At 40.6% G+C, this 25,325-nt stretch overlaps 1 protein-coding gene and 1 non-coding gene across 4 annotated transcripts in view; one reads left to right on the forward strand and one right to left on the reverse strand.

Annotated features, from left to right (window-relative positions):
• Positions 1 to 25,325, reverse strand: part of DNAAF9 (dynein axonemal assembly factor 9) — a 158,364-nt gene that overhangs the window by 130,956 nt on the left and 2,083 nt on the right. For all 3 annotated transcript variants that reach the window (XM_005260684.5, NM_001009984.3, XM_047440081.1), the window contains exons 2-3: positions 2,166 to 2,245; positions 1,118 to 1,237 (exon numbers count right to left, since the gene is read on the reverse strand). In XM_005260684.5, the coding sequence (XP_005260741.1) occupies positions 1,118 to 1,237; positions 2,166 to 2,245 (200 nt within the window). The remainder of the gene's footprint in view (positions 1 to 1,117; positions 1,238 to 2,165; positions 2,246 to 25,325) is intronic.
• Positions 3,968 to 4,179, forward strand: LOC124904983 (small nucleolar RNA U3). Its single transcript, XR_007067772.1, has one exon. It is a non-coding gene; the product is annotated as a small nucleolar RNA U3 (small nucleolar RNA).

Here is a 25,325-nt window from a genome sequence, read left to right on the forward strand (position 1 = left end):
ACCAAATTTGAATGGAAAAAATTGTAATGGAAGGAGTAATTTCAGTCTACTCTTTTTGCACTTCCTAATAAAAAGGAAAGCTTTAATCAGTCTATAAGAATAAACACTACTAAGGACTTAACCAGAGAAGAATTTTCATATATACCAGACCAGGATTTCTCAACCTCGGCACTACTGACAGTTTAGATCAGTGAATTCCTTGTTCTAGGTGACTGTTCTGTGCATTGTAGATGTTTAGCATCATCTCTGGCCTCTATCCACTAGATGCCAGTGGCATCCCCTACCCAGTTTTGACAATCAAAAATGTCTTCAGACATTGCCAAATGTCCCCTGCAGGACAAAACTGCCCCCAGTTGGGAACTACTGCACTAGACACATAGCAATATTATTTCACATCAGATGTTTGTTTTCATGCCTCCCCCAGCTGCCTCACAAGAGCTGTCTGTCTCTTGTCCACTTTTATTTTGTCTATTCCAGTGTCTCCTGACCCATCTGGCATACAAGACATGATTCTAAATATGTGATATCAGAGATAGCTCCTGGGCAATAGCCCCCAGCAGCATCAACACAGGCAGAGTGTCTCAGTGCTACGGAGAGGGGAATATAAACAGAAATCCAGCATTGTAGTCACAGGCATCTTCATGAATTAAAGTCACAGAGAAAATAATTCCCAAAGACAGCAGGACAAAGAGCCTTTGTTCCTCAGCTGATAAGCCACAAGAAATCTTCCTTGTAGGAGCTGCCTGCAGGCCCATCCTTACCTCACAACTGAAGGTGCTTTCACAGGACAACACCATGTAATCTGAACCGTTAGCATGTAGAGGCAATGGTCAATGAAGAGGAAAACCAGTACTTTGCCAAACAGAGATAAAGCCAAACACTGATGTTTACTTGTTTCTCTAAAGCTGAATTAGTAAATATACTCTGAAAACTACTTGTTGCTACTAAATATATCAGCAAAGAAAAAATGCCGTTTTTTTCATTCTTTAAAAAGCAAACGTTTACTGGGGCTTTGGACTATTTTAAATTTTATTCCATAAGAAGACCATAAAATAAGGATCCAAATAAATAAACCTCTTACTCTTCTATCACACAGAGTTTACCAATATATACTTACCATCTAGTACTTCTTCAGAAAATCCCGTTTTCTCAAAATCACTGGTATTCTGATTGTACAAACCAAATAGAAGATAATTTGCCAGCTCTCTGCAGCCTTCATTGTACCTGCTATCGATTCCTGCAAGGCAAAGGAGGCTCTGATCAGCTGTACCATACTACAGGGAGCAAATGAGCCAATAATTTGCCCCTGCTTAGCAAAACCCTGATGATCAAGCTGAAGGACGCAGCTCAGACCAGTTTTGTGCCAGAAACCAAGCTAACCAATTCTGTGAAAGAAACAGGTCTCAGCATCAAGTACCTTTACTTGAATTCCAACGTCTTGTAATTGAGATAATCAAACAGCACAGATTATGGAGCCTGTTAATTTCTGAAAAGGATTCATCTTGGAATGCTTTCAGTTAGCTTAAGAATAGGGGTCAGAAAAATCTTCACCTTTCAAAGAGATCTTTACCAAAACACTTGGGATCAAACAAAGGCAGATTAAGGTGGCTTGACAAGAACCCAATAATGTGAAGAAGAGGACAAGTGAGTGGAACCACAAACACCCATCACTTTACAATTATGAGGCTCAAGGTCTAGCACTGTACTAGATGCTGGGGTATGGTGGTGAACATGCCTGCAAATGACCCTCATGAAGCTTACAGTCTAGAGGAGCTGAATTAGAGACAAATAAAAAGGAAATTAAACAATACTGTCTTCACTACCATCTCTCAATGCTTTAGGTATATATTTATTACCTAGGTCCTGATGTCTGTGAAGTCTCAGAGTATGGCTCTGGGCAAGAGGGACATGTCATGGCAGGAGGCAGCTATATATGTGAGGCTAAAAGAAGGGCTTAAGGCAGAAGTAGCTCCAAAAATGGGCTTCCTATCTCACTGATAGCTCATCTAACCTCATTAAAACAGCAACAAATTTCGGGGGAACAAGAACTAGGAGGACACCAACTCACAGCTTATTTCACATTGCTACTATTACTAATACCTTCCTGTGAACAAAAAAAGCCAAGTTGCCCAAGCCCTGAGTCCCACCTTGTTAAAAGCACTGACCTAGGATGCAGAGGATCCCATCCGGCCGAGACTTGCTGCTCTGGGTCAGGATGCTCTGAACCTGCCGAAGTCGACTGCAGCTGCAACAAGAACAGAAAATGGTCCCCTGAGTGCCAGGACAGCCCCATGAGAAGAGCAGCATCCTGTGTCCCACAATGGAGTCATGAGGAAGAGGAATGACTTTGCTGGGGATGGAAATTGATTCTTGTCTGGTTCTGGTATCAGAACCATAAAATGGATTGGGAAGGTTCCTTTCTCTTTTATTTTCTGGAAGAGGTTGTGCAGAACTGGTCTGAAGACTAAGTCTGACCTGCTGATTACGAACTCCTCAACAGAGGATGAAGCCAAAGTCCCTCTCTCATGGTCAATGGTGGAAAGGATTAAGACTCAGCAGCTGACTCCAAGAACTTCCAATGACTTTTCATGTTTTGAAGATTTTTCAAATAAGAGTTTCCATACTGATCACCCCACTTGTGGTCCTCATCAGTCTGTCTCAAAAACAAATGCAAACTAAACCCCCAAACTGGCCTGAGAACCTAAACAAAGCTCTAATTCATCCTCACAGCTATCCATATAGGGAGTGTCAGCAGAGAATACTTGCTTCCATTTCTGTGTAGACCTATTATTCCTTCAGCCCTAGGGACAGCCGTTTGCTCAAGCAAAATGTGAGGCACTCTCAGACATTCACATTACTTCTAAGGACCCCATTCTCTCCATGCCCATCCCCTCCTTCCCAGAAGCTCCAGAGAGAGGCGCCCGATTTCCTGCTCAAGACTGATTCTTCCACCTGGTCTCCTCATCATCTCCAGGTCCAGGATCTGCCTCTAATACTCATTCCCTAACACTTTTTTTTTTTTTTTTTTTTGAGATGGAGTCTGGCTCTGTGGCCCAGGCTGAAGTACAGTGATCTTGGCTCACTGCAACCTCTGCCTCCCAGGTTCAAGTGATTCTCCCGCCTCAGCCTCCCGAATAGCTGGGATTACAGGTGTGTGCCACCACGCCCGGCTAATTTTTGTATTTTAGCAGAGATGGAGTTTTGCCATGTTGGCCAGGCTGGTCTCGAACTCCTGACCTCAGGTGATCCGTCCGCCTCATGCCTTACAGGTGTGAGCCACCGCGCCCAGCTTCCTAACACTCTTATATTTAATACTTTCTCTACAGTCAATATAATCCCAGTCCTACTACATCATTATTAACTAAGAGCCTCTACAAACCAACTACACTAATTCTTCCACCTATGAAGCCAGGCATCATCCCCATCCCTTACTGAATCTCCTCCAGTACACTGCCTTACTCTCACCTCAAAACTGTATTTACAGCCAAACTACACTATTTCTCTTCACTAATTCCTGAATTCTTTTGCCCCACTGGATTCTTTTTTTTTTTTTTTGAAATGGACTCTCACTCTGTCGCCCAGGCTGGAGTGCAGTGGCACAATCTTGGCTCACTGTAACCTCCGCCTCCTGGGTCCAAGCGACTCTCATGCCTCAGTCCCCCAAGTAGCTGGGATTACAGATGTACACCACCATGCCTGGCTAATTTTTGTACTTTTTAGTAAGAAGGTTTCACCATGTTGGCCAGGCTGGTCTTGAACTCGACCTCAAGTGATCCACCTGCCTCAGCCTCTCAAAGTGCTGGGATTACAGGCATGCGCCACCACACCAGGCTGCCCTGCTGGATTCTTTTTGACGTTCCTATGCCCCAACTCATTCATTCCATGACTTGGCGCTCTTCATCACTATCTTCCATGAAGAGTTTCATAGTCTTCCATGTGATATCAAAACTAGACAAAGATAGTACCAAAGACTATACTTTCAGGGATCATTTCTGTAGTTCATTATTAGAGAGGTCTCTCTGAATGAGTAGAGCACTAGAAACCACAGAAGGAGGCACAGTGGTCTCTCCTGAGCATAAAGCTGGTTTTTGATGTTGCTTTGCTGCAACTGCCATTCGTCACTGATGACTGTTTTCTTCCTCTGGGAGAGTAAGAGGGAGAGGACACTATCTGAGTGTTTCCTCTTTAATCATCAGTCAAAAACAAAAAGTATCAAAAAGAGAAAGAAACCTACAAACCAAAATCCATCATGAATATAAATGTAAACATCCTGCCTTTTTTTTTTTTTTTTAAAGAGATGGGGTCTCATTAATGTTGCCTAGGCTAGACTCGAACTCCTGGGCTCAAGCAATCCTCCCTCCTCAGCCCTCCTGAGTAGCTGGGATTACAGGCATGCACTACCACACCTGGGAAAATTTTTTTTAATTAAATGTAAACACCCTTAACAAAATACAGTAAGTAAAATTCAGCAACATGTAAAACAACTATACACTAGGACCAAGTGGAATTTATCACAGAGATACTCGAGGCTGGTTCATTATTCATGAATCCATCAATGTAATCCCTCATATTAACAGGCTAAAGAAGAAAAATCACACAACCAAAAAACTGATGCAGAAAAATCACTTAATAAAAGTCAACACCCATTCATAATAAAAACACTCAGAATTGATGGATATCCCAACTACACTAATTTGATCTTTATAAATTATATGAATGTACCCTGAAAATGTGTGTCTCTATTATGCATCAATTAAAAAAACAGAAAAAAAGCCACTCAGAAAACTAGAAATAGTTTCCTCAACTTGATAAAGATCATTTAAAAAACCCACCAAGCAAAGTTTGTAATTACACATAATGGTCAAAGTCTGAATGTTTTTCCTCTAAGGTCAGGAAGAAGATGAGCATGTCTACTCTCATTATTCCTATTTAACATAATACCGGAAGTTCTAGCCAACAGAATAAGGCAATAAAAGGAAGTAAAAGACACATAGACTGAAAAGACAGAAAGAAAACTGTTCCTATTTGCAGATATGTCCTATTTGTAGATGACATGATGGTCTCTGTAGGAAATCTTAAGGATTCTACCAAAATTCCTAGAACTAATAAGTGAGTTCAACAAGGCTTCAAGATACAAGATCAACATATAAAAATCAATTGTAATTTTTTTTTTAGACACAGGGTCTTGCTCTGATGTCCAGGTTGGAGTGCAGTGGTGTGATCATAGCTCACTGCAGTCTCTAACTCCCGGACTCATGGGCTCAAGCGATCCTCCTACCTCAGCCTCCCAAGTAGCTGGATCTACAGACACATGCCACCACACAAGCTAATTTTGAAAAAAAATTTTGGAGAGACAGGGTCTCACTTTGTTGCCTCCCTAGGCTGGTCTTGAATTCCTAGCTTCAAGTGATCCTCCCACCTTGGCCTTCCAAAGTGATGGGACAATTGTAACTTTATAGAAAACCAAAATTTAAAATACAATACCATTTATAATCTCTTAAAAATTAAATACCTAGTTATAAACCTAATAAAACATACACAGCACTTACATGTTAAAAACTACAAAACACTGATTAAAGAAATTAAAGAAGATCTAAATAAATAGTAAGACATACCATGTTCATGGATTAGGAACCTCAACATAGTACTGATATCAATTTTCCCTAATGTGGTAAGTTTAACACATCCCTATGAAAATCCAGTATTTTTTATAGATGTAGAAGAGATTATTCTAAAATTTACATAAGCCAGGAACAGTGATACAGGTCTTAGTCTCAGCTACTAGGAGGCTAAGATGGGAGGATCACTTGAGTTCAGGAGTTCGAGGCCAGCCTGGGCAATATAGTGAGACCTCATCTCTTAAAAATAAAATAAATAAAACTCATAAGGAAAAGCAAAGGAACTACAATAGCTTAAAACTGTTTTGAAAAAGAAAAAGTGGGAGGAATCACTCTACCCAATGTCAAGACTTACTGCATAGCTAAAGTAATCAAGACTGAGTGGTACTGGCTAAGGGACAGACACATAAGTCAATGGAACAGATAGAGTAACCAGAAGCAGACCCACACAAGTACAACTAACTAATTTTTAACAAAGGCACAAAAGCAATTCAATGTTGGATGGATAGTCTTTTCAATAAGTAGGGCTAGAATAACTGGATATCTACGGGCAAAAATGTAAACCTCAACCTTACACATTATATACAAATTAAAGCATAGATCTAAATGGAAAATGTAAAATCATAAAATCTTTGGAAGAAAACAGAAGAAAATATTCTGGACCTAGGATTTGGTGAAGAGTTCTTACACTTGACACCAAAAAGTGTGATCCATAGGGAAAAAAAATGATAATGTGGACTTCATTACAATTTTAGTTTTGCTCTATGAAAGACTCTGTTGAGAGAATGAAAAGACAAGCTACTGACTGGGAGAAAATATCTGCAAACCACATATCTGAAAAAGAACCATATGTGGATACATAAAGAACTCTCAAAACTCAATGGTAAAAAAAAAAAAATCCAATTAGAAAATGGGCAAAAGGTATAAAGAAACAATTTGTCAAAGAGGATACAGAAATGGCAGAGAAGCCCTATGACAACATGTTCGACATCATTATCCATTATGGAAATGCAAATTAAAACCATGAGATATTACTATACCTCTATTAGAATGGATAAAATGAAAAACAGTGACTACCAAACTGAGAATTCAGAGAAACTGGACCACTCATATATTTCTGAAAGAAATTACAGAAGACAGCAATAAATGAAAAGATACCCTCTGTTCATGCATTGGTAGACAATATCGTTAAGCTGTCAATGTTACCCAAAGCAATCTACACATTCAGTGTAATCCCTTCTCAAATCCCAATGATGTTTTTTACAGAAGTAGAAAAATCCATTCTAAAATTTATATGGAATCTCAAGAGACTCTGAATATCCAAAACAATCTTGATAAAGATTAAAGCTGTAGAACTCACACTCCTGATTTTAAAACTTATTACAAAGCTACAGTCATCAACAGTGGGATACTGGCATAAGACAGATATACAGACCAATGAAACAGAATAAAGAGACCAGAAACAAACCCTCACATACCTGGTCAAATGATTTTGACAAGGATGTCAAGACCACTCAATAAGAATAGTCTTTCAAACAAGTGGTGCTGGGAAAACTAGATATCTAAAGAATGAAGTTGGACCTCACCGTACACCATATAAAGAAATTAACTCAAAATGTATCAAAGACCTAAACATAAACATAAAACTATAAAACTTTTATAACAAAACACAAAGGAAAATCTTTGTGACATTCGATTTGGCAATGAATTCTTGAAAATGTCACCAAAAGCCCAGACAACAAATAAAAAAATATATAAACTGGACATTTAAAATTTAGAACTTCTGTGCATCAAATGACACAAGCAACAGAGTAAAAAGACAACCCATCTATATAACTCAACAACCATCACCAAAAATTCCTATTCGAAAATGGGCAATGAAGCCAGGCAGGTGGTTCATGCCTGTAATCTCAGCACTTTGAGAGGCCAAGGTGGGGGATCTCTTGAGCCCATGAGTTTGAGACCAGCCAGGGCAACACAGGGAGACCCTGTCTCTACAAAAAGTAAAAAAAAAAAAAAAAAAAAAAAAAAAAAAAATTAGCCGGATGTGGTAGCATGTGCCTGCGGTCCCACCTACTCATGAGGCTAAGGTAAGAGGATCATCTGAGCCCAAGAGGTTGAGGCTGCAGTGTGAGATGTGTTCACGCCACTGCACTCTGGTCTGGGCAACAGAGCAAGACTCTGTCTCAAAAAAAAAAAAAAAGAAAAGAAAAGGGCAAAGAACATTTCTCTGAAGAGGATATGCAAATGGCCAAGCACATGAAAAGAAACTCAACACCTCTAATCATTAGAGAAATGCAAATCATAACCATAATTAAATATTACTTAATATCCATTAGTATGGCTACTATCAAAAAACTAGAAAATAACAAGTGCCATCAAGGATTTGGAGAAATTAGAACCCTTGTGCACTACTGGTGGGAATGTAAAATGGTGCAACCACTATGGAAAACAGTATGGCAGTTTCTTAAAAAATTAAAAATAGAATTACCACATGATCTAGAAATTCCAGTTCTGGGTATAAATTCCAAAGAACTGAAAGCAGGGACTGAAAAAGATACCTAGAAATTCCAGTTCTAGGTATAAATTCCAAAGAATTGAAAGCAGGGACTGAAAGAGATACCTGTATACCCATCTTCATAGAAGCACTATTTGCAACAGCCAAAAGGTGGAAGCAACCCAAAGTGATAAACAAAATGTGATACATACACACAATGGAATATTATTTAGCCTTAAAAAGGAAATTCTGACACATGCTACAATATGGATTAACCTTGAGAACATTATGGTAAGTGAAATCCAGCCATAAAAGTACAAATTCTGTATGATTCTACTTTTTTATGAGGTACCCAGAATAGTCAACTTCACAGAGACAGAAGGTAGATAGAATGGTGGTTGCCAGGTGCTGGATGGGAGAGGGAATGGGGAGTTATTGTTTAATAGGTACAGCTTCAGTTTTGCAAGATGAAAGGTTGTGTGGATGGATGGTGGTGATTTTAGTTTAACAATGTGAATGTCCTTAGTGCCACAGAATTGTACACTTAGAAGTAGTTAAAATGGTAAATTTTATGGCATGTGTATTTTTCTTGTTTTGTTTTGTTTTTCTGAGACAGAGTTTCGTTCTTGTTGCCTAGGCTGGAGTGCAATGGTGCAGTCCCAGCTCACTGCAGCCTCTGCCTCCTGGGCTCAAGTGATTCTCCTGCCACAGCTTCCCAAGTAGCTGGGATTACAGGCGCCCGCCACCCAACCCAGCTAATTTTTTCATATTTTTAGTAGAGATGAGGTTTCACAGGTCTCACTCTGTTGCTCAAGCTGGAGTGCAGTTGCTTGATCACGACTCACTGCAGCCTCAACTTCCTGGGCTCAGGTGATTCTCCCACCTCAGCCTCTTGAGTAGCTGGGGCTACAGGTGCATACCACCACACCCAGCTAATTTTTCTATTTTTTTTTTTTGTAGAGATGGGTCTCACCATGTTGCCCAGGCTGGTCTCAAACTCCTGGGCTCAAGCAATCTGCCCACCTTAACCTCCCAAAGTGCTGGATTACAGGTGTGAGTCACTGCACCTGGCCAATTTTAAAAATTTTTTTAGAAGTTAAAAATAGTCAGCTGGGCATTGTGGCTCATGCCTGTAATTCCAACACTTTGGGAGGCTGAGGTGGGAGGATCAACTGAGGTCAGGAGTTTGAGACCAACATGTGCAACATAGCAAGACCCTGTCTCTACCAAAAAAAAAAGAGAAATAGTTTTTAAAAAGTCAGCATTATATAAAACAAAAACAACAGAGAGGGAAAATTCTTACAGTGTAAAAGGGATTAAAGAATAACAACAAAATGCAATCTATGAACTTTAAATTTTTTTTAGAAAAGAAAAACAGGCCAGGCATGGTGGCTCATGCCTGTAATCCCAACACTTTGGGAGGCCAAGGCGGGAGGATTGCCTGAGGTCAGGAGTTCGTAACCAGCCTGGCCAACGTGGCAAAACCCTGTCTCTACTGAAAATACAAAAATTAGCCTGGCGTGATGGCGTGCGCCTGTAATCCCAGCTACCCAGGAGGGTGAGGCAGGAGAATCACTGGAACCTGGAAGGCAGAGGCTGCAGTGAGCCAAGATCACGCCACTGTACTCCAGCCTGGGCAACAGAGCAAGACTCCATCTCAAAAAAAAAAAAAAAAGAAAAATGGAAACATCTGTGAGACATCTGAGAAAACTTGAATATGGACTATGTATTTGATACCATTAGGGATCTACTGTTAATTTTCTTAGGTATGGCAATGTTATCATGGTTATGTAGTAGGATGTCCTTTATTTTAGATGCATAAGGAAATATTTAGAAGTGAAATGTCACAATGTCTGCAGCTTACTTCAAAAAGGTTTGACATAAAAGAAGACAGATTGAGAAGAAGAAAAAAGATAAACCACATACGGCAAAATGTTAAAAACTGTGGAATCTATCTGGTGGGTATAGCAAATATTCATTGTACTATTCTCTCACTTTTTTTTTTTTTTTTTGAAGTCTCATTCTGTTATCCAGGCTGGAGTGCGGTGGCACGATCTTGGCTCACTGCAACCTCTACCTCCTGCGTTCAAGTGATTTTCCTGCCTCAGCCTCCCTGTAGCTGGGATTACAGGCGTGTGCCACCATGCCCAGCTAATTTTTGCATTTTTAGTAGAGACAGGGTTTCACCATGTTGGCCAGGCTGTTCTCGAACTCCTGACCTCAGGTGATTTGCCCGCCTTGGCCTCCCAAAGTGCTGGGATTACAAGTGTGAGGTGCCACGCCTGGCCTCTCACATTTTATGTATGGTTTGAACATTTTCATAATAAAAATACGGGGGTGAGAGGAAAGAAAGTCTTAGAAGCAGCAAGGCTGAAACAGCAAGACGATCAAGATTAAAGTCAGAAAAACTTTTTCTGGGCAATGAAGATTGCCTGCCTCTCCCCACTTTTTCATGTTTAATAGAAGGCTGATCTTGCAATCATTCTCTGCACTAGAAATAGTTCATTGAGTTGGTCCTGTGGCCCACTTCCCAACCCATCAGACAGTAGGCTGCTTTACTGCCAAGGTTACCCAGAGCTCTTTGGTTTTCAAAGTTACAACCAGCAAGTGACAAAAGCATGAAAAGGTCAGGTGACCAAGAAAAAAACAGCTCCCCAACTACTGCTGTACAAAGCCAAGACAATACTGAAAAGTTTCCTTTCCACAACTATGTTATCCAAAGAAAGTGCAAGCATATAAAATGTAGAAAGACCTTCTTCCCAGAGATAAACACTGTCCTAATTAGTGTTTCTTATTTTATTATCAAATGGTGAAACTAAATTCAATTCTTCCTTTCCTTTGTGTATTTTCTGCTTCCCAAATTTAATTATTAACCAGAAGATAGTTTTTTATTCATCAATGAACCATGAAACGTGTCACTTAATTATTTACCTTTTAATTAAAAAAAAGAAAACCTAGTAAGTATTAAAAAACCCACAATGACCCACACTCCCAGCAGCCGGAATTAACCACTGTTAATATTTTGGCATATTTGCTTTTTTCTACATTACTGCTTTTTAAAATTATGTATGTTGAATATTTACTGTCTATTTTGAGGGAAAAAAAGGAATATTACATAAAAACCTAAAGTCATCATTGATCCTCACCCCCCAGAGGTCACCACTATGAGTTTGTTGTGTATCCAGCCAGTCTTTTTTCCTTCTTTTTTTTTTTTTTTTTTTGAGACAGAGTTTCACTCGTGTTGCCCAGGCTGGAGTGCAACAGCGCGATCTTGGCTCACTGCAACCTCTGCCTCCCGGGTTCAAGCGTTTCTCCTGCCTCAGGCTCCTGAGTAGCTAGGATTACAGGCATGCGCAACCACGCCTGGCTAATTTTGTATTTTTAGTAGAGACAGGTTTCTCCATGTTGGCCAGGCTGGTCTCAAACTCCTGACCTCAGGTGATCCACCTGTCTTGGCCTCCCAAAGTGCTGGGATTACAGGCGTGAGCCACCACGCCTGGCTGTCTTTTTTCCTTTTAATAAAAATATTCAAAGGGCGGGCACAGTGGCTCATGTCTGTAATCCCAACACTCTGGGAGGCCAGGCATTCAACACTAGCCTTAGCAACACAGCAAGACCTCATCTCTACAAAAACTAAAAATAAAAAAATTAGCCAGGCATGATGGTGTGCATCAGAAGTCCCAACTACTTAGGAGGTTGAGGTGGGGGGATCACTTGAGCCCAGGAGTTCCAGGCTGCATTGATTGCACCACTGCACTCAAGCCTGGGTGACAGAGTGAGACTCTTATCTACAAAAAGAAAAAGAAATAAATTTTTTCAAACATATACCATACCCAGCAATGACACTGCCCTCTAACCCCCAGGTCTACCTGAGCATGTGGTCACCAATGACTTTGTAAGTTCTACCTTTAGAAGACGCATAGACTCAGCAGACCCAATAATGCAGCTTACGTCAAAGATGCTGCTTTCATATTATAACTTATTTCTTATTTTCCTTGGATTCAGACTCAGAATTTAGACATGATAGATGACTGATAGATGACAAAGAAGAAGAAACCAAGAGCTAAATAGATGTAGTTTGCCCAAGATCACAAAGCTAAGTAAAGATTAACATCATCAGAACCTAAGTGAGCAGGTACCCTGACTCTGAACTTTTTCTTTCTGCTGAACCCCACTGTTTTCCTGACAATAAAGCCAGTCGTGGGTACAATATATGTGAATTCTAAACAATCATCTCTGTTCTTCCCATCTTATATGTAAATAGTTAACTCACTGCTCACTGCTTTTATAACAACTGTGCATGAACAGCCAGGTATGTTTTCTTGTTTGTTTATATTTCATTATCTTGCTTCCCTGGAAATGAAGAAAAAAATTGGAAATTTTATTTTTACCCAGTTTTTCTCCATGATTTATGCTTTCTTTATCTTGAAAATTAAACAATTAAAATACTAATATATTCTTCTTATATCCTGTACACTTTGTGTCTTGAATGTTTTACAAAGTGAATCCTCATATACCAATCTGATTCATCTCATCATAGAAAACTGACGTGAACAATTTGGTATGCAACTCTCAGTAATACATAGTTTTGGTGTTTTTCTGTTGGGGAAGTATTTGTTTTTACATAAGCAAAACAATAAAATATGTCACTGCTCTGCAACATGCTTTTTTTCACTTAACATTATACCTCAGAGATCTTTCCAGCTTAGTACATAGAACCAAATCTCATTTTTAAAACTGCTGGTCAGGTGCAGTGGCTCATACCTGATCACTAATGATGTTGAATACCTTTTATTTATTTATTTATTTATTTATTTTTGAGACAGTGTCTCGCTCTGTTGCCCAGGCTAGAGTAAAGTGGCACAGTCTTAGCTCACTGCAACCTCCGCCTCCTGGGTTCAAGTGATTCTCCTGCCTCTTGAGTTCAGGAGTTCGAGACCAGCCTGGGCAACATGGCAAAACCCTATCTCTACAAAAAATTAGTTAGGCGTGGTGGTTACAGGGGCATGCCTATGGTCCCAGCTACTCAGGAGGCTGAGGTGTGGAGACTGCTTGAGCCCAGGAGGTTGAGGCTGCAATGAGCCGAGATTGAGCCACTGCACTCCAGCCTGGGCAACAGAATGACATCTTGTGTCAAACAAAACAAAACAAAAATAAAAAATAAATCAAATAAAACTGTTGTACTGTATTATTTTGTTTTTATTTAACCAGCTGCTATGATGGAACATTCAGGATTTTTACTATTTATGTTTGCTATTGCAAACAATGCTACGGTGAGCAACCTTTTATGTCCATCTTTGGCACAAACACAAAAGTTTCTACAAGGAAGAGATCTAAAAGTAGCACTGCCAGGTTAAGAGGTGCCTGCATTTTAAATTTTGATAGGTGTTGCCAAATTGTTCTTTTAAACCGTTTACCTATAATATGCCAGAGTACCTGTTTCCCACAAGTTTCTAAATTATGTGTTACCACTCTTCAACTAATGCTAAATGAGTGGCTAGAATTCTGAGTTACAACTCACACTTCCCTAATTACAAGGGAAGTTGTCAAATGTTTATTGATTATCTACATTTCTTTTTCTATGAGTGCATACTCATATTCTTTACCTACTTTCTAGTCAGTCATTTGAGTTTTTTCAGAATAATTTACATATTTCATCATATTTTAAAAGTTGTATTGGGCCGGGTGCAGTGGCTCCCGCCTGTAAACCCAGAACTTTGGAAGGCTGAGGCAGGTGGATCATCTGAGACCAGACGTTCGAGACCAGCCTGGCCAACATGGTGAAACCCTGTCTCTACTAAAAATACAAAAATTTGCTGGGCATGGTGGTGTGTGCCTATAATCACAGCTACTCGGGAGGCTGAGGCAGGAGAATCACTTGAACCCAGGAGGCGGAGGTTGCGGTGAGCTGAGATCATGCCATTGCACTCCCGGCCTGGAGACAAGAGTGAAACTCCGTCTCAAAAAAAAAAAAAAAAAGTTGTATTTTGGCCATGTGTTGCAAATATTTTCTCCAATTCTCTAGATTTTGTTTATAGTCTCTTTTTCATGCCGAAGTTTAAAAATGTTATGTAATTAAATCTGTGTATCTTCACCTTTAAGCTTAAGGGTTTTATGTCTTCCTCTTGTGCCTTCCCCAGTCAGTATTATAAACAAAATAATAAATGTCAAATTTCATTCTAATTATATATGTTGGTTTATAAAAAACATTTAGTTCTTTATTCCACTGGAATTTTTTTACTTTCGTGAAGCAGGAACCCAACTGCATTTTGTTCCCCCAAACAGGAATGACTATTCCAAGATCATATATTATTTTAATCCTCTGATCTGGAATGACACTTTCAGAATTTGCTAAACTGTCGTATATAGTTGGATCTATTGTTTGGATCTCTATCTGAGGCATTTACCTATTCTCACAGGAATACTGCGCTTAAAAAAATAATCAGAGCTTTAAGGTATGCTAGCTAGCACTTGAACTTGCTAGTATACAGATTACTTTTATAGCTGATGAGGCAAGTCCTTCTATCATTGTTTCAAAGATTCCATGGCTTTTACTGAACATTTTCTTTTTTCTTTTTTTTTTTTTTTTTTTTTTTTTTTTTTTTTTTTGAGACGGAGTTTCGCTCTGTCGCCCAGGCTGGAGTGCAGTGGCGCGATCTCGACTCACTGCAAGCTCCGCCTCCCGGGTTCACGCCATTCTCCTGCCTCAGCCTCCCATGTAGCTGGGACTACAGGCGTGCGCCACCATGCCCGGCTAATTTTTTTTTTGTATTTTTAGTAGAGACGGGGTTTCACCGTGTTAGCCAGGATGGTCTCGATCTCCTGACCTCGTGATCCGCCCGTCTCGGCCTCCCAAAGTGCTGGGATTACAGGCGTGAGCCACCGCGCCTGGCCGAACATTTTCTTTTTTCTTTTTTTTTTTCTGAGACAGCCTTGATCTGTTGCCCAGGCTGGAATGCAGTGGTGCAATCTCAGCTCACTGCAACCTCCACCACCCAGGTTCAAGCAATTCTCATGCCTCAGCTTCCCGAGTAGCTGTGATTACAGATGTGCGCCACTATGCCCAGCTGATTTTTGTATTTTTAGTAAAGACAGGGTTACACCATGTTGGCCAGCCTGCTTTTGAACTCCTGGCCTCAAGCAATCCACCGCCTTGGCCTCCTAAAGTGCTGGGGTTACAGGTGTGAGCCACCACACCTGGCCTGAACATTTTGTCTTTCAGAGGAAGTGTAAAATCAGCTTGTCAAGTTCCATAAACTCTTCTGCTGGGAATTTGTATTATAATCATACTGCATCTGGACAGTACTGAGCTCCCTACTCAGGAACATGATTATGTCTCTCCTTTCCTTCCTCTCATTTTATATACCCTTGTGTCAAGTTTTATATTTTTATTTATAAAATAATCTTTAACATTCTTATTAGGTTGATTCCTAGGTATTTTGCAGTTTTTGTTTCTATTTTGAATGTCATGAGGAATCTGATACGGTTTGCCTGTGTCCCCACCCAAATCTCATCTTGAATTGTAACTCCCATAATTCCCATGGGTCATGGGAGGAACCTGGTAGGAGGTAATTGAATCATGGGGATGGGTCTTTCCCTGTGCTGTTCCCATGACAGCGAATAAGTCCCATGAGATCTGATGGTTTTAAAAATGGCAGTTTCCCTGCACAAGCTCTCTTCTCTTGTCTGCTGCCATGTGAGATGTGCCTTTCACCTTCCACCATGATTGTGAGGCTTCCCCAGCCACGTGGAACTGTGAGTCCAATAAACCTCTTTCTTTTGTAAATTGCCCAGTCTCAGGTTATGTGTTTATCAACAGCATGAAAACAGACTAATACAGAGTCCGTTACATTTTTTCAAAGAACTTGCTAAACTCTAATTAGTTCTAACAGTTTTGTCTATTGTCTTAAGTTTTCCAGTTAGTAAATCAAAGCAGTTTTCTCTCTTCCTTTTTTTATTTACAATTTATTTACAGTTTTTATTTCAACTCATTAATTCATCAACTTTTTATTGAGCACCTACTGTGTGCCAACTGTTCAGAGCACTGGGGATTTAGCAATAAATGAAAGGACAAAAAATCCTCGGAACAAAACCAGAACTTAATTTTAAGGGAGGGAGGCGTGAGAGAGGAGAGATAAACTAAATAAGTAAGTAAAATACACTTGTCATATGGTGGTAAGTGGGAGGTTGTGAGTCCTAAGAGGAGGGTAGAGTGCAGTTTAAAAGCAAGATCAGGAAAGGCTTCATCAAGAATACCTTTGCATAAAGACCTAAAGGAAGTGAGAGCACAAGCTATGCAGCAAGGGCAAAGGCCCTGAAGGGAGTGTCACTGAGCCGGTATGGCTGGAGCAGAGTAGGTGAGGAAGAGAGTTGCAGGAGATGAAGAGGAAAAAAAAAACTATGTGTGTAGGGGGGAAGATTAGTTAAGGTCTAGTACTTGATTATTTCAGCTTTTACTTGTAGTGCTTAGAGTGCTTCAAAAAGAGGTATGACATACATTTTAATAATATCACTCTATTTGCTGTGTTGAAAACAGACTGAAGGGCGATAAAAGTTGAACCTGAGAGACCGATTAAGACTCTACTGCTGGACAGGCATGGTGGCTTATGCCTGTAATCCCAGCACTGGGGGAGGTCAAGGCAGGCAGACTGCTTGAGCCCAGGAGTTTGAGACCAGCCTGGGCAACATGGCAAAATCCCGTCTCTACAAAAAACACAAAAATTAGCCAGGTGTGGTGGCACACATCTGTAGTCCCAGCTACTCAGGAGGCTGAGTTGAGAGGATTGCTTGAGCCTGGGAGGCAGAGGTTGCTGTCAGTGGAGATCACACCACTGCACTCCAGCCTGGGTGACAAGAGTGAGACCCCGTATCAAAAAAAAAAAAAAAGAGTCTACTGTAATAATCCAGTCAATGGATAGATGATTATTTCTTTTTTTGTTTTGTTTTGTTTTTTGTTTTTTGAGACGGAGTCTCGCTCAGTCACCCAGGCTGGAGTGCAGTGGCATGATCTTGGCTCACTGCAGGCTCCGCCTCCTGGGTTCACACCATTCTCCTGCCTCAGCCTCCCGAGTAGCTGGGATTACACGCACCTGCCACTAAGCCCAGCTAATTTTTTGTATTTTTAGTAGAGATAGGGTTTCACCATGTTAGCCAGGATGGTCTTGATCTCCTGACCTCGTGATCTGCCCGTCTCAGCCTCCCAAAGTGCTGGGATTACAGGCGTGAGCCACCACGCCCAGCCTTATGATTATTGCTTTTGCTTATCTTATTAAATTAGCTGGAACCTTATTATATTAGTGGTTTAAATCAGGAATGAGTGTTAAATTTTAAGCAGATTTTTTTTGGGGGGGGGGAACATCTACCAGTCTATTAACTTCATTAATAGATTTCCTAATAATGAACAATTCTTGCATTTATTGGACAAAGCCTACATGTGCATGAAGTAGTACTGTTGTTTTACCATGCTTCTAGATTCAATATACTATTGTTTTACTTAACGATTTTTGCATTTGTAGCTCTCCTTTGTGCTTTCCTAATCAAGTACCAGGATTATGCCAGCCTCAGAGAATGAGTGGGAAAGCAGTTTCTGAGGACTATACTCCTCTCAGCACACTTTCCATTTCTACCTCCCCTGGTAACACATCCTGTGACCCTCCCAAGCCAGTGTCCCATCATGATTTATCCAGGTGCAAGTCAGGTCAACTGGAGTCCTTTCCAGGGCTATCTCACTCTAAAGCTAGAAGAGAAATGGCCTCCAGGATCACCATGCAGGAAGAATGTGGTTTGGGGCTACAGTAACCATCTTCCCTGCCTTGGGGAAGATATATTCGTAGGAGAATGCGCAACCAGGTAGTGAGAAGCAGACGAGAGACAGCATAGACAGAGTTAACTGTTCTGATAGCAGAGTCTTGGCTCCAGTCCCTAAGGCACTAGTTCCAGCAACTCTTCCTATAAGTCTATCTCCCCAATATCCTTTCCAGCCAAATAAGCCAATACATTCCATTTTTTTACTTAAATCCTTTGAGTTGGATTACTGTCACTTGCAATGGAAAGCATTCTTAATATAAAATCAATTCCAGGAAGTGTTTAGGGTTGAACCACACTGGTGTCTACAAGTTATTTTGAAAAGCATTAAAAAAAAAATTGGATGGATAGAGAAAAGGATCTGCCTTATATGAGAAGGCAAATACAACAAATACATTAAGTATAGAATCTAGGTATGGTATATACAAATGTTCACTGAACAATTCTTGAAACTTTTCTGTACTTGTGAAATGTTTCACAATAAAATGTTGGTGGGGTTTGGGAATCAACAGCAGAAGTAATAAAAGCTATATTGGCATTAATCTAGACTTTCGGTGCTGATTAAAAAGAGCTCATTGCAGGACTGCTATGGGTTTAAGAAACCTGGCCCTGCATTAAAGCAGCAATCATTTACCTCCCTTTGCAAAACTAGACATGGGGAGAAAAGGCAAAAAGCCAGGATGTGCAGTAAGGCAATAAATGACACTTCCCACTGATGTCTTTGCTGGAGGAATAACCTGCAATGGAAAAAAGCTAGCCAATGTTCCTGCTGTCATAGCTAATACATGGCTGACCAATGACCATAAGGTGACTCAAACTGAAGGGACAAACACACACATATGATATGCCTTGATATGCCTGAAGAATGTGCTGGCATCACTGAATTATTCAATGATTTAAATTTTCTCCCAGTACTTTCATGTAGCTCACCAGAGCCATTAGTAATCCTAAGCAATGTAAACTTCATTCCACACAGCTACCTCCCTGGTAAAAATAAACAGTTGACTAATCCATATCCATTCTCTTTTTCTTATTTATTTTTTATTTTATTTTTTTGAGATGGAGTCTCACTCTGTCACCCAGGCTGGAGTACAATGGTGCGATCTCGGCTCACTGCAACCAAGGTTCAAGCAATTCTCCTGCCTCAGCCTCCGGAGTAGCTGGAGTTACAGGCACCTGCCACCATGCCTGGCTAATTTCTGTATTTTTAGTAGAGACAGGGTTTCATCATGCTCGCCAGGCTGGTCTTGAACCACTGACCTTGCGATCCGCCCGCCTCGGCCTCCCAAAGTGCTGGGATTACAGGCATGAGCCACTGCGCCCGGCCTCCTTTTCTTTCTTAGTAGAGTACCACAACTTTATTTGTGGCAGCAATAGGTCCAGGTCCTTTGCCTCCAGAGTTGATCAATGAGACATACACAGAAGTCATCAAGCAGAAGCTTCCAAGACAGCTCTCTAAAGAGAACTGACTCAACAAGGAAACCCCTTCTGTTTCCCTTTCTTGTCTGACAGACATGATGGCTGGAGTTCCTACAGCCATTCTGTGATCATGGAGCTATGGTGAATATAGAAACCACCTGCTAAAAGACAGCAGAACACAAACACAGAAGAGGCCTGGTTCCCTGATGACTCTAACAGGACCGGCCTGCCTTCCTCCAACAGACATCTTCTTCAAGTTAAGTCATTACTGTTAAGCATCTCGCCAGCTGCCAAACTTAGTTCCTGATAGGCCACCTTATCTAAAATGGTTAAAACTCATGTCCGATGGCAATTCATGTCTACACCTATTTCATGAATTGGTATGCATAAGACACTCTACAAACTAAATTCCAGAACTTCAGAAACTGTTACCCACCACAAATGGAAAATGTTATCTGAAGTTTGTTCACTATATTCCAGTGTATACAACACTTTATTTTCCATTTTCTTCCTTCTCTCTGGCATTCTCTGAATATTTCCTTACAGAATCTGTTCTTTGTAAAGTCAGTTTCACAAGTCTTCAATCACAAAGCATTCACAATTCCTTTCCTTCACTTATTTGACCATTAAAAACATGCTAAATCTAAATGCAATGTGAAATCCTGAGTTGGATCCTGGAACAGAAAAAGAATGTGTGGAGAAACCGAGAAAATTCAAATAAAAGCTGGAGTAGTAAACTCCAAGTAAACAAAAGTTTACTAAGTAAACAAATCTATTATACCAATATTAATCTCTTAGTTTTGATAAATGCACCAGGGTTATATGTAAGATCTTAATATTAGGGGAAGCTGCGTGAAGAGTATATAGGAACACTCTGCACCACTTTAGAAATTCATCTATAAATTTAAAATTATTTCAAAATTAAAAGTTAAAAACAAAAAGAATGCCAAATGAGCTGCCTTTTCTTCAAACCAGAGCTAAAAATCACAGATAACAATTTTAAATATCCAAGTTGCAAACCCTGCTTTGCTTTTCTTTCTTTTTTAAAAATTTTAGGGCAAAAACAATAATTTAAGCTGTGTTACTTAAAGGGCATTTGTGTCTCATTCACTCCCCTCTCCAAAGGTCAGAACCTCAGAGAAGACCCCACAAGCTGTGAAACATTGTTAAGATATTGTGTACTATTAATGCCACAACACTCACTAAATAAGAGTCCTCAGTATACTGTCATCCCAGATACAAGTGAAAAGGAAGTTATATATAGGCCTCTATCCCTGGACCAGAAATAAAGCCATACAAGTCTAAGTAAGCATACCCTTTTTACTTCTACAGGCACCACACCAAGCCTTCCTGGCCAGCATCCAAGTAAACTGGAGGCTGAAGCTTCACATTTTCAGGTATTCCAGGGCATTGGCTTGCTTTGCATTTTGAATTTTCTTAAGGCTGGGACCATCTGTACCGTAGTTATTACTTCCGTAGATCTGTAAACCCTCCAAGAGAATGAGGGGTAATGGCAACTAGCTAAGAAACACCTGAAGAGATAACTAACCTCTGTGAGGCTTTAATTAAAGTGCTTTCTCTAGAGTATCACTATCATGAATCACTTTCTTTTTTTTTTATTTTTGAGACAGAGTCTTACTCTGTTGCCCAGGCTGGAGTGCAGTGGCGCGATCTCAGCTCACTGTAACCTCTGCCTCTTGGGTTCAAGCAATTCTCCTGCCTCAGCCTCTCCAGTAGCTGGGATTACAGGCACCCGTCACTAGGCCTAATTTTTGTTATTTTTAGTAGAGATGGGGTTTTTCCAAGGCCAGGCTGGTCTTGAACTCCTGACCTCAGGTGATCCACCCACCTCGGTCTCCCAAAGTGCCGGGATTACAGGCATAAGCCACAGCACCCGGCTGATGAACCACTTTCTTACCACCTAGCTCGCAACTATGACTCTTCATTCTCTGAATACCCATGAAATTTAACATAGCCCACAGCTTCACCTGTAATTATTATCTTTCATTCAATAAATAATTACTGAAGCAGTGTTTCATAATAGCTAACAATAGCAGTTCATACTCAGCGAGTCCTATGTGCCAGACACCAATCTAAGCAGCAAGGGAAACAATGTGAGAAATGGCAATTAAAAATAGTCCCAGCCCCCTGATACTTTCCAGGGGTGATAGAGAAGATCCTTCCCAATGACCCTCTTGACAATAAAGAAATCCTACCTATGTCACCCAAGCTACCTCGGTATGGGGAGGGGGTGACCGTGGGGAGGGCTCCCCCGCCCCCTTTTGATACAGAAAGATCTGTAGAATCTTTCTATAGAAGATGGTAGAAGGGACGCCAGCACGGGAAATCCTTAATCAGACTGTTTTGCTAGAGCACATCCTCCAGTAGCTTCTTCATAAAACGGGCATGTGAGGTCAAATTTTGAGAACTTACATGTGTGAAATATCTTCATCCTTTCTTACACCTGCCTGAGAGTTTGGCTGGGTGCAGAATTCTGGGTGGGAATCTATTTTCCTTCAAAAGGCACTCTTTGCTCCACTACTTTCTAGCTTACAATCCTGCTAGAATCCTAGCATTCCTGATCCTATCTATGTGACTTACAGATATTGTCTTCATGGTGCTAGAAAATTTCATGATGCTATGCCAGGACATGCATATTTTTATTTTAAATTGACAGATATATATATGTATTTGTGTACCTGATGTTTTGAAGTATATATACATTGCGGAAAAGTTAAATCTAGCTAATTAACAAATGCATCACCTCACATAGTTTTTTTTTGATGAGTACACTTAATATCCACTCTGTTTGCATTTTTCAAGAATATATAATCATTAACTATAGTTACCATGTTGTATAACAGATCTCTTAAACTAATTCCCCTATCCAACTAAAATTATATATCCTTCAATCAACATCTCCCCATCCCCGCTACATCCTAATTACCACCATTCTACTCTCTACTTCTATAAGATCAACTTTTTTTTTTTTTCTTGACACAGGATCTCACTCTGTTGCCCAGGCTGGAGTGCAGTGGCATGAACGCAGCTCGCTGTAGCCTTGACCTCCTTGGCTCACATGATCCTCCCATCTCAGCCTCCTGAGTAGTTGGAATCACAGGCGCATGCCACCACGCCTGGCTAATTTTTCTTTTTTTGAACTTTGTAAAGATGGGGTCTCGACATGTTACCCAGACTGGTCTCAAACTCCTGGGCTCAAGCAATCCTCCCACCAGGGCCAAGATCAACTTTTTTAGATTCTACCGCATATAAGTGAGATCATGTGGTCCTGGCATGGATATTTTAAAATTCATTGTGCTAGATTCTTCGCAAGTCTTTTCAATCTGGAAACGTATGTCCTTTGGTTCTAAGGAATGTATTTATTTTTTTATCATTTCTTCATGTCTTCAAACAATAACTACCTGCTATCTCTCCCTGTTACAGACATCTACAGGTCCCTAGGTCATTCTGTTAATTTATGATAACCTCAATCTTCACCACAATCTTTACCTCTCAGTGCCTTGATTCCCCCACTTCCAATGGTGGTGTCCTCCATCCTACTTCAGCTATTCCCTTCCACATTGCCACATCCAAGCAGCTCAACACAGCTGCAGGAAAAGTGTACAACTATGCTAAGTAGGGTCTCACCTAGGTTTACAACTACAAACATCAAATGGGCACTAGGTGCTGCCTGGAAATCCTAAAACTTTTCCTTATTTTCAACTCATTCTTCCCCATTCTCTTGGATGAATCCAACACCTCTCTTCATTTTTAGCTGAAGACCTTCCTTCTTATTTACCTGAGAATACAGAAGTAATCAGAAGAGAACTTCCACTTTCTCCCACCAACAAGCTACCAGCATTTGGGTTCACATAATCTGCCACCAATGAATTGTTGGCATTGCTCCTGTCTAACTTGAGGCCAACATCCCCATTTACATACTAGATCCCATTCCATCTTACCTACTCAAGGACTTCACCCTTGCAAGTGTCACTTCTCTTTAATCATCAATTGTCCCTCCCTACTGCATCAGCCCATCAATTTACAAACATGCTATAATATCTGCCCATATAAAAACAAAAAGAACTCGACACCTCATGATCTTCCAACTACAGCCCCATTACTCTACTCTCCTTATAACCATCCTCAAAAGAACATCAATATGACTGTCTATATTCAGTGTCTTCAATTCTCCTCTCATTTTCTGCTTTGTAAATTAATCAATTTATGTTTTTTAGAGACAGGGGTCTTGCTATGTTGCCCAGACTGGACTTGAATTCCTGGACTCAAGGGATCCTCCCACCTCAGCCTTCCGAGTAGCTGACCTACAGGTGACTGGCTTCATTTTCTCTTGAACCCACTGCACCAAAACTGTTCTTGTCAAGGTCACTAGTGACCCTCCACATTATCGAATCTAATTGTCTATTATTAGTCCTTTTGTTTTCTTGAGATGGAGTTTCACTCTTGTTGCCCACACTGGAGTGCAATGGCAAGATCTTGGCTCACTGCAACCTCCACCTCCCAGGTTCAGGTGATTCTCCTGCCTCAGGCTCCCGAGTAGCTGGGACTACAGGTGCCTGCCACCATGCCCAGCTAATTTTTTTGTGTGTATTTTTAGTAGAGGTGGGGTTTCACCATGTTGGTCAGGCTGGTCTCAAACTCCTGACCTCAGGTGATCCACCCACCTTGGCCTCTCAAAGTGCTGGGATTACAGGCGTGAGCCACCGTGCCCAGCCTGATTACTAGTTCTCATCACACTGTCAACAATCTCATTCGGCTTTCAATGTCTGTTCTCAATTATTCTCCCACCTCAGAGGTAGGAAACCATTTTCTCTCAGAACTTGGAAGACACTGCTACACTGCCTTTTCTTCTTCTAGTGTTCTTAATACTAATAAATGGCAACTCCATTCTTTCAATAGCTGAGGCAAAAACCGACTAGGCCTTCTTGTATTATTGTTCTTTCGGCCGTATTTCTTCCTCAGTACTTATGACTCACTATTCTATATTATGATTTCTACTGTTACTGTCTCTTCCCCTTTACAAAAGAGTTATTTGAGGGCAGGGGACTGCTGTATTTATCTGACTCTACAGCACCTAACAGAGTACTTGTTGCATAATTTATATAAATAAACAGTGAAATTTAAACTATTAAAGAAGTTTCAAGCAGGAACAGATCGCTCTACAGAAAAACATTTTGAAGTAGAAAGTATCTTTCAGCTAGATTTCCACTGGTTCCTTAGCATTGATCCAGATAGGTTAGTTTATACCTTGGTAATAAGTCCAAAATCCCGGTGGTGTTTCACTTCTTGCTCAACCTACCTGTCAAGCATAGGTCACCTGGAAGCTAGCTCTGGGGCCTTGACTGATGGGTGGCTGCCATTTGCAGCCCCAACAGCTACCATGACAGAAGGAAAGAGAATGGAAAACTACACAACAGAAATTTGTACCATGAAAGGCTACACAGTATTCCCACGCATTTCACTGACCAAAAGCAACTCTTAAGGCCATACCTAACTTCAAAGAAGCAAGCAAGTAAAATTCTACTACATGCTCAAGAGACAGAAACCAAAAATACCTGGTAAGACTGATGACTATCACATGCTTAAAGAGAAGCCTCTCATTCTGAGTAACAATATTTTAATTCTTGATCTCCATTCTCCATCTGTGAAAATGAACTACCGTGCTAGAACCATACACTTGCAGAGTACTATCTATGGGTCTTAGGAATGTCACTTCACCAGTTAGGTTTGCCCCTTCCATCACTCAGCAGTCAGCAGCAAAGCCATATATGGGTGACAGGAAAGTGCTAGTAACATTCAATGTCAAGAGTAAGGGAAAGGCTTGAATGGGCAAGAAAAGCACGTTCAATCATGTAGAAGTGGGGAAAGGAGGGAAGCCTTCAGCAAATTTCTTTCACCAAAGGTATTGGGGGCAGCTAGGCCTTGGGGTTCCTTGCACTATTCCTTGTCTGAAATCAAATTTTATT

The sequence above is a fragment of the Homo sapiens genome, chromosome 20 (assembly GCF_000001405.40).
Source record: "Homo sapiens chromosome 20, GRCh38.p14 Primary Assembly".
Taxonomy (NCBI): domain Eukaryota; kingdom Metazoa; phylum Chordata; class Mammalia; order Primates; family Hominidae; genus Homo; species Homo sapiens.